Here is a 10,298-nt window from a genome sequence, read left to right as displayed (position 1 = left end):
GGCTCACTGCAGCCTCAACCTCCCAAGTTCTAGGGATCCTTGCACTTCAGCCACCTGAGTAGCTGGGACTACAGATGCACACCACCATGCCTGGCTAATTTTTTAATTTTTTATAGAGATGGGGTCTTGCTATATTTTCCAGGCTAGTCTCAAACTCCCACGCTCATGAAATCCTCCTGTCTTGGCTTCCCAAAGTGGTGGAATTACAGGTGTGAGCCACCATACCTGGCCAATGATGCTTACTGAAAAAAACATTATTTTTAATCTTCTTTTTTTTTTTAAGTTTACATTGCTTGGGAACACAAATACAATTGCTTTTTGTATTTTGACTTTGTATATTACAAATTTGTTAAATTCTGTTATTGCAATAGATTGTTTTAAGATTTCTTTGGATTTCTCATGCACAAATCATGCTTGAATAAGGCAAAGATATTCACTATAAACACTTCCATTCAGTATTTTGCTGTAGGTGCTATCTAGTGCAATAATGCAAGAAAAAGATATAAAAGGCAAAAAGAAAATTTAAGAGGACGTGAATCTCTCATTGTTTCCAATAACATGATTATGTTGATTTAATTTTTACTACATCTTTTCCGAGAAGAGGTTTTTCTTCAGTTTTTTTTTCAATCTCCATATACGCCTGATCTCAAATTTTAAGAGAGCCATGTACTCTCTTATTTTATATGTTTTAGATACAACTGCATAAAGTCTTTAATTATTACATAAAATGAACAATCTATTTAAAAAGGTAAAGCAAGCATGGAAAAAATCCTGTGATTCAGGGATTATAGCCCAAATGGAAAACAGTCTTAGAAAGGGATCTCAGAAAAACATAATAGACTGGTGTCTATAGGAAAAGTAATAGTATTACAGATCTAAATTAATTACCTCAAAGAACAGGACTGACTGAGAAAATATTGAGTAAGAGAAGAAAAAAACTGCATTTGGGAGAAGATGAGCCAGAAGTAGTGGTAGGGGGATGGCTGTATATAAGTTACGAGAGAGGATATACAATCTTCCCTGATCTTATGTAAGTTACCTAGGACTATTTATCCCACTTTGATAGTTCAATGAATTCAGAACTAGGTTTTGAATCTTTGAAATGGCTTGCATACTGTGATGATCATTGTAATTTGGGTGGTCATAGGGGCACTATTTCCCTTTCAAATCCTTGGGTAATTAGCTTCTTTTTGATGTAGAAATTAACTCACAAAGGAGCCTACTAACATGTCAAATGTCAACACAATTAGGTAGAAACAGGACTCTAATTCTGATTTCTATTTCCCCCTCTTTGCAATACTAACAGAACTTACAAAAGAATTTGTTAAAAGTCTTGAAAAGAGGCTAAGGACTAAGCTTTTAAAATTCCTTCCATGCTCAATATTATTTAAAGCCCTAGCCCCTTAAGTAGAAAAACATACAGGGAGTATTAGAAATAGACTTAAGGCTCATTTGTGATGCCTAGTGGCTAAAATTGTTTCTAAATAATAGATTGATGTATGCCAAAACAGTACTAGGGCACTTGACCTACTTTCTAAATGTCAAATCTTACATTAAGGGTTTAAGCATTTGAAGCTTCAGAATTGCCTCTTTTACAGACTTTAGAGCAAACTGAAAGAATTTCATGACTTAACATGCTGAAGCTTTACTTAAGGCATGTTGATAGAGGTACCAAAGGAGAAATTGTCTTAATCCCTCTAGGGAAGTAAAGGAAATAGAATAAATGCTTAAAGATGACATTTAGATTGAAAAAAAAATTTGTACATAAACACACATACACACACACACACTCAATCAAACACATAGCCCCATAACAAATCCACCCTGATTTCTCACCTGAAGTAGTTCGGCCTATATGCTCATGTATACATGCATAAATAATTTCTATTACATATGAACAATTTTAAGCTATTAAATTAACAGAAGTATTCCATTGAACATAGAAACAATAAAAATTAAATGACTATTTCAATTACATTTATTTCAGTTATGAAATAAGATTATGTTTTAAGATAACTAAAAGGAAGTTGTCTTTTAAGTCAATAGGACTAGATCTAAGGCCCAAGAAATTATATGACTAAATAAATATGTGATTTATTTAAAAATGGGCCAAGATCAATAAATTATGATAAATCTAGGTCACATTACTAAGAAAAATAAGTTTATTCAAGTGTATTACTTATCTTAGTGGTTGACAATCATATTTATTAACAAAACAATTCTTGATACTATTGGAGAAATTGTGCAGAGTGAACCATTGGTCTCACCAAGAAAGACAGGCATATACTTACTCTCATAATACAGCAGAGGACTCAGTTTTCTCCTTTTCTTCTCTGTAAGATGATAATATTGTTATTTACTATAGAGTTTTCTGTTAGAATTAAATATGATAATCTATGTGAAAACATTTTATGTACTCCCGCTTTTATTTCATTTATAAATTGTACTCATTATAAATTTTATTTGTAAATTCCATTCATATAGATACTGAGATTGAGTACTTCTCTGTGCTGGGAAGTAGGAATACAGTAATGACCAAGATGAAGTCCCAGAATTTGTGGAACTTATTTTTTTTTTGAGAAACAGATACTAATAACAACTCACACAATCAGTTATTTACAATTGTGCTATTGCTAAAATGGACAAAATTTTGATCTAGATTATGCAGGCAGTGAAGGCTGCCTTGAGGAAATGGTACTTCAAACGGACTCTGGAGGTTTAGTTAGAATTAATTACTCATAGAAGGAACCTGCTCTGAGCAGAAGAAAGGGCATAATTGAATGCTCGGTGGTGGGAAATATATGCATGTGTTATGAGAATAAGACATATGAGGCTGAAATGGGAATATGAGGCTGGCTGTTAGAAAATACAAGGAGAGTGGCATAAAATCAAGCTGGTGAACAAAGCTGGGGTAGATTATTCATGTCCTTGTTAGATCTTTGTACTAAGAACAATGAGGATCTTCTGAAGGGTTTCAAGCAGGAAGGTGACATGATCAGATGTATAGTTTTAAAAGTTTCCCCTTGCTGCATAATAAAAAATGAAGTAGAGAATGGTGGGAGAGAATTCAGTGATATCAATTTAGAGGCTACTTCCATTGAGTAAGTAAGAAACAATGATAGCCAGGCCAGGGCAGTAGGGGCAGAAATGCAGAAAGGTATCCTGCAAGGGGTCACTGCCACTGTCACAGAGTAGCATTCATATTAACGTGTTAATTGTGGTTAGGCTTTCCAAGTGAAACTTTGGCCTACGTGTCCATTTGTCTGTAATGTTTTGATTATTGGGATTAGGATGAACTGAATAAAGGTTTTTTTTTTGTTTTTGTTTTTTTTGCTTTGCTATCGTTTGTTCAGAAATGCGTAAGTATAAGTAAAAACAAAGCATGAGTAAAAACAAAAGAGACATTATTTAATATGAACAGCTCTGCACGTAAGGAATTAACAAGGATGGAGGTTTCATTTTATCATGTACTAGCTAATACATAGTTTGCCAGGAATTTCTGAAGTTGAGGTTTGGCTCTGTGGTTTGGGAAGCCTCAATCTAAGTTCAGAGTTTTTATTCCTTCTAAATTTTAGGTAGCAGACAGTGGTCTTGTGAGATAAAAGGAAAAAAAAAAAGCCCTGCTATTTGATGTTCAAACAGTTTAGATAAATGACTTCTTATTTGGAGACATTTATTATTGTTTCTCTCTCTCTCTCTCTCTCTCTCTGTCTCTCTCAGATATCTCCTTATTTGATTGAATCTTTACTGAGGTGCCTACTTGGGAAATGACAGCATAAGGGAAAATAGATGCAGCCTAAATAAATGTAAGCCTTGCTGAGAAAGAGGCCAGCTTAAGATGTAAATACTGATAACAATAAAAAGAATTCGGCCCTTGGGATGAATACAAAGAAAAGTCATATTCAAACACTACATCATGATTTTTAGCTTCCACAGAAGCCACAGAAATATTTATTATTTATATTCTACATATAATACTGCAAGCCCTATTTACGTGTGAGATTTAAAAGTAATTGTCCAGCAGAGATCAAGTGGAGTGGCTTATGTAACTGTTGAGATGCTCCAGGAGGGCACAGCTCCAGGTGAAATGAAAAGTATAGAACCAATAAAAAGAAACAAAAATTCTGAGGCATCTTCTAGGGAGAAGATTTTAGCATCCATCTCACCTCACAGGCTTGAGACTCCTTCCTAGTTCTGAACTCTCAGGCAAAGTGGTCTTTTGTGGGGGTGAAAAGTGGCTGTCATCAAATGACTCCTACCTGTGTCAAGGCCGTTCAGAGTTTCCTGGAGGATTATGATGCCTATTCAGACTGCAGTGCACTTGTGGTTCGAGGCTTATCCAAACCTTAACGGAAATGATTGGCATCAGCAGAAATGGCAGCATGAGGATCTTAGAAATTTCGCCCCTCCACAACCTCCACAAAAGCAAAGAAAAAGCTGGCAAAAAATAAAAAATAAAAATATATATTGTTCAGAACTCTGGAAATAAATCAAAGGCTTGTAGCAGTGTGAGAGTGTGTATTCAATAAAAATTACCAAATCACAGTAAAAACAAGTTTTGTGCTACCTTAACTCACCCTAGTTCCATCCCATTTCACAGCTCAGGGATAGCCTTGAGAAAAAAAAAATGCCCACGTTCCCAGTACCAGAGGTTGTATAATTGAGCTAAAGCTCTTTCTAAGCTTCATTTCCACAAAGATGGCATTATTTGACCTGCCTCGTGCTTTCATGGAAAATTCTACTCAAAATCCACGTCTTTATTTGACTTGATAGAACATGCTCAGTGCTAACAGACTCAGAAAACATTCACTGGCCAGTATTTTAACTTACCACTGCCTGAGGCAATGAGTAACATTTGGGGCAAACAATAGACTTACCAGAAAGCTTAAAAGAAAATGAGATATCTATAAGACTTTTACTTTTAAATCTCCAACATACTTCTGGGCACCCAGGAAGCCATTTACATGCCTAGGACTGTGCACATGTTCAGGAAAGAGCCAAGAAATTCTGGAAAGCACATTTTCTGATCGTAATAAAAATAAATTAGAAATTATTAACAGAATCTTAATAAATTAATAAATATTTGGATATTAACAACGACAGACTCCTAAATAACCAATGGGTCAAATAAGAAATAATAAGGAAAATTATTAATAAAGATAAAATGTGAATAAAGATGAAAATGCAGTGTTACATTTGGAGATGAAGTATACTTAAAAGGAAATTTATGGTAGTAAATACCTACCTTAGAAAAGAAAAATCTCAAACCAATAACTTAACCTTCTACCTAAAACATCTAGAAAAAGAAAAGCTCTAAACCCTAAGGCAGCAAAAGAAAGGAAATAATTACTATTAGAGCATAAATAAATAAAATAGAAAAAAAATAAAGAATCAGCAAGACCAAACGTTTTTTTTGAAAAGATCAACAAACCAAAGAACTTCTAGCTATACATATTAACTAAGAATAAAGAGAGAAGTTTAAAATTACTGAAAGAGAAAAAAAGAGAGATAATTACTACAGACCTCAGAGGGAAAAAGAGATAATAAGGAAATGTTATGAACAATTTTATGCCAACTAATTAAATTATATGAAACGGAAAAATTTCTGGAAAGACATAAAAACTAATGAAACTAACTCAAGAAGAATAGAACATTTGACTAAACCTATAATAAGTAAAGAGAATGAGTTATTAAGCAAATGACTCTTCACAAAGAAAAGTGCAGGACTATATGGCTTCACTATTAAATTCTGTTTAAAGAAACATTAACACAAATCCTCTCAAACTCTTGCAAAAAATAGAAGAGGAGGAAAAACTTTCTAATTTATTTATAACATCAGTATTCTGATAGAAAAACCATCACAAGAAAAGAAACTATAGACTAACGTCCCTTACGAATATAGATGCAAAAATCCTTAACAAAATACTAACGAACAAAATCCAGTAACATGTGAAATGCATTATACAAGATGATCTGGTGGTGTTTTTATTTCTTTTTCTTTTGAAATAGGGCCTCACCCTGTCACTTAATCTGGAGTGCAGTGGCATAATCATAGCTCACTGAACCTCGAATTCCTGGGCTCCAGTGATCCTCCCACCTCAGCCTCCCAAGTTGCTGAGACTACAGGCATGGTCACCAAGCCTAGCTAATTATTATTATTATTATTATTGACACGAGGTCTTGATATGTCGCCAGGGCTGGTCTTGAACCCCTGGCCTCAAGAGATCCACCCACCTTGGCCTCCCGAAGTACTGGGATTACAGGTATGGGCCATCATGTCCGGCTGATCAGGCGAGTTTTATCCTAAGTATGTAAGCCTTGTTCAACATATGAAAATCAAGCAATATAATATATTCTTAACAGAATAAAAAATAAAAGAAAAGAAAATTACATGATTGTCTCAATAGATGCAAAAGAGCAACTGACAAAATCCAACACTTTTTGATGATAAAACACTCAACACATTAAGGATGGAAGGTCACTTCCTCAATCTAGTAAAGGGCGCCTATGAAAAACCTAGAGCTAATATCATACTTAATGTTCAAAGGCTGAAAGCTCTTCCCTAAAAGCATAAACAAGATACAAATGTCTACTCTTTGCACTTGTATTCAATAATGGGCTGGAAGTTCCGGCTAGGGAAATTAATAAGAAAAACAAAGAAAATGCATAATATTGTAAGGAAAGATACTTTGGATTGTCAACAGCAAGATGGTCACCTAGAGTTGCCTGGGGCTTGTTTCCCCCAATAAAAAGACCAAAACAATAAATAAGCAATTATATTTCCATTGGAGTGACTGAGGAATTACACTTCAGAGCACGAAGAAAGTGACAAAATCCCTGTGTAGCACAGAAGCCCAGAATAGCACTATAAAGAGCAGAGTGAGGCATTCACTTCTGCCACAGTCTTCCCTATCTAGTTCAGCCCAAAGTCAGAAGGAACTTGTTCTTACAGGAAAATAGGTAAGTTAGAGAGCCCCAGCAGGTCCCATTGTCACCACAAGCACCAGCAGTTCTTGCTACAGAAGGGCTCCCCCAGTCATCATAGGCCTTGCATCCTGTGAGGATTCTTGGAGAGTAGATAGGAGTTCATGTAGCTGCATGGTACCAGAGTAGGCATTCACTCTGAACACCTCCCACCCTGCCAGCTAAGTTGCTATGGCATGGCACCATCTTGAAATTGAACTCACTGCTAGAGTACATCCTGCCTGGGGGCCAGAAGCAACTGATTCTATGTATCCCTGAGGCCCTGCCATCATTTCACCTTGCTCACACAGGTGCTTCCAACAGCAGGATTTTATCTTTCTGGAACCTAGGCAGGATGAAAAGACTAAGATTTTCAGTTGGAACCTACATGGCACCCCATCCCCTCCAGGGACACGTGGAATGCCATAATGCGAAAGCTGCCAAACAGCTGGCCACCCTCTCACCCATGTGCACCTGCACCTCACAGCCAGCTGGCCCCTTCTGTCCCTGTGTACCAGCACCCAGCCTGAAAGCTAGCCAGGTGACAGCCCTGGCCGCTGATACACCACCACAGAGCTGCCTCGCCATGCCATATGTATGCCTGCTGGCACGCCAGTCTGGACAGCTGGCCTAGTGGTGTCCCTGTCTCTCTGGGCAGACCAATGCAGAGCTGCCTGGTCCTGCTGCGACCACATGCACCTGAGCTCAACTTAACAGCCAGCCTAGTGGCAGCCACCATTTCAAAACAGAAATGAAATAGAAAGTAAAAAAAGCAAGTCAAAGGTTCAACAAAATGAAAAGTTGTTTCTTTGAAAAGTTAAACAAAATCGACAAACCTTTAGCTAGACTACGAAAAGAGAAGACTGAAACAAATAAAACCAGAGATAAAAAAGAGACATTACAACATACCACAAAAACACAAAAGATCAGTTTGAACAAAGAGATAGCATGAACAACCATACACCAACAAATCTGATAATACAGAAGAAATATATATTATCCTGGACATATAAAACCTACCAAAATTAAACTATGAGGAAATAAAAAATCCAAACATACCAATAAGGAGCAAATAAATTGAATAAGTAATAAAGGTCTTCCATGAAAGAAAAGCCCAGAACCTGATGGCTTCACTGACAAATTCTGCCAAACATTTTAAGAAGAACTAATATCAATTTTCCTCAAAGTATAACAAGAAACTGAAGAGGCTTGAAGTATACCAAAAAATTGAAACGCATTTTACAAGCCCGGCATTACCCTGATTCCAAAACCAGACAAGAACACAACAAAAAAGGAAAACTACAGTACAATATTTCTAATGAACATAGATGCAAAAATGCTCAACAAAATATTAGAAGACTGAATTCAACAGCACATTGACAAATGTGCAAAAAGATGATTTACTATGATTAAAGGGGATGTATCTTAGGGATACAGGATGGTTTAGCAGACACAAATCAAGAAACATGATACATCACATTAACACAAGAACAATAACCATCTAACCCATTTCAATAGACACAGAAAAGACATTTGTCAAAATTAAGCATACCTTCATGATAAAATCTCAACAAATTAGGCATAGAAGGTATGTTCTTCAATACAATAATGACCGTGTATGACAAATCCACAGGTAACATCATGTTGAATGAGAAAAAAAAAGTTTAGTAATGCCACAGGCTAGACAGAGGCAACAATTTAATAGAACTGAAAGTTCAAGGATAAAGCCACACACCTATGGTCAACTGATTTTTAATGAGCACCAAAGCCACATAATGGGGGAAAGAATAGTCTTTTCAGTAAATGATGCTGAAACAATTGAACATCCTCATGCAAAAGACCCTTTTGTAATTCATCTTGGTTCCAATTCTTTGTCTCATCAAAAATAAAAGGATAACTTAATCAACTTCTTATTAAATTTTTTGATGACATTTTAATGAGATTTTTGTCATAGAATTTTGAAGAATTGAAGAATTTAAAAGAATGATCTGAACTTGTTATAAAACTTCCATTCCCATCTACGTATTTGTAGGATAAATAAATTGTTATGTTATATGGAAAAAATAGAAAAACAGAAATGAAAACAATAAACCCTGTCTTATTCAAGCAATATATAGTATTCTTCCATAGAAACATAAAATAATGAGGGAAAGCCCTATTAACATTACATCAAAAGATGTATTTTTATATTTAACAATTATTGAAACTTACAGTATATTAATTTACTTGTTGGAATGATAACTCATTCCAGAATATTTTAACTATTAGAGCTATATTGGCAGAGAAAATAAAATATTCAATTTGTATAGATATTTTTGTTGCAGCGAATTGTGCTGGGGTAATTTAGCTAAAGTTTCTTTTCTTTTCTTTTACTTTTTCTTTTTTTTTTTGAGACGGAGTTTTGCTCTTGTTGCCCAGGCTGGAGTGCAATGGCACAATCTCGGCTCACCGCAACCTCCACCTCCCAGGTTCAAGTGATTCTCCTGCTTCAGCCTCCTGAGTAGCTGGGATTACAGGCATGTGCCACCGTACCCAGCTAATTTTGTATTTTTTTAAGTAGAGACGGGGTTTCTCCATGTGGGTCAGGCTGGTCTCGAACTCCTGACCTCAGGTGATCCACCCTCCTTGGACTCCCAAAGTGCTGGGATTACAGGCATGAGCCATTGTGCCTGGTCTTAGCTAAACTTTCAAGCATAGTAATATATTTCTTTCAAATAAAATTTTGTGTGAAGTGTAAATGAATATAGATCAATGTAAGTTTCTACCTTTTATGAAAAGAAAAGGGATATAATAGACAAAAACATGTATCAAATTGATACCAATGGATAATGATAATAAAAGCAGACACTCAATGGCACAGGCTCAGTCAAGACAGAGGCAATGACTCAGATGGAAGTCTGGGCAGGCCAATGCCAGACTTAGCCATTGGCTGAAACGAAGATGTTTGCCAGAAAGTTGATGTCCCAAACTGATGCTAAGGCTTGGATATTGAAGTTTAAGCAGCAGTCAAAAAAAGAAAAAAAGGAAAAAAAAAGACCCAAACCCAGGTAATGGTTCTGACTAGAAAATAGAGCCTGAGGTCATGGCCAAGCCAAAGGCTGAGCCCATGCCTAGACACTGCCCTATCAAGACTAAAGCCAAGGCATGAGATGAGAGAAAGACCAGCAGAGATTCCAGGGTCAGAGCGGGAGTGGGTGTTAATAGGTTGGTGCAAAAGCCATTGCAGTTTTTGTCACTACTTTTAATACCAAAAACTGCAATTAGTTTTTAGAATTACCCTTTAGTCCTATTCAAATTCATAGCAAGAGCTGACACTAGCATAATATAGAGGTGAT

General features: G+C 36.1%; 1 annotated feature.

Annotated features, from left to right (window-relative positions):
- Positions 777-1,754: an enhancer, noted in NCBI's record as "OCT4-NANOG hESC enhancer chr9:31736386-31737363 (GRCh37/hg19 assembly coordinates)". NCBI's record gives its function as "activates a minimal SCP1, AML or CMV promoter by ChIP-STARR-seq in primed H9 embryonic stem cells {active_cell/tissue: H9 hESC(primed)}" and the evidence as "EXISTENCE:reporter gene assay evidence [ECO:0000049][PMID:30033119]".

This window comes from Homo sapiens, chromosome 9 (assembly GCF_000001405.40).
Source record: "Homo sapiens chromosome 9, GRCh38.p14 Primary Assembly".
In the NCBI taxonomy this organism is placed as follows: Eukaryota; Metazoa; Chordata; class Mammalia; order Primates; family Hominidae; genus Homo; species Homo sapiens.
Note: the sequence above shows the minus strand (reverse complement) of the source record. Positions and strands in the feature narration are given on the sequence as shown.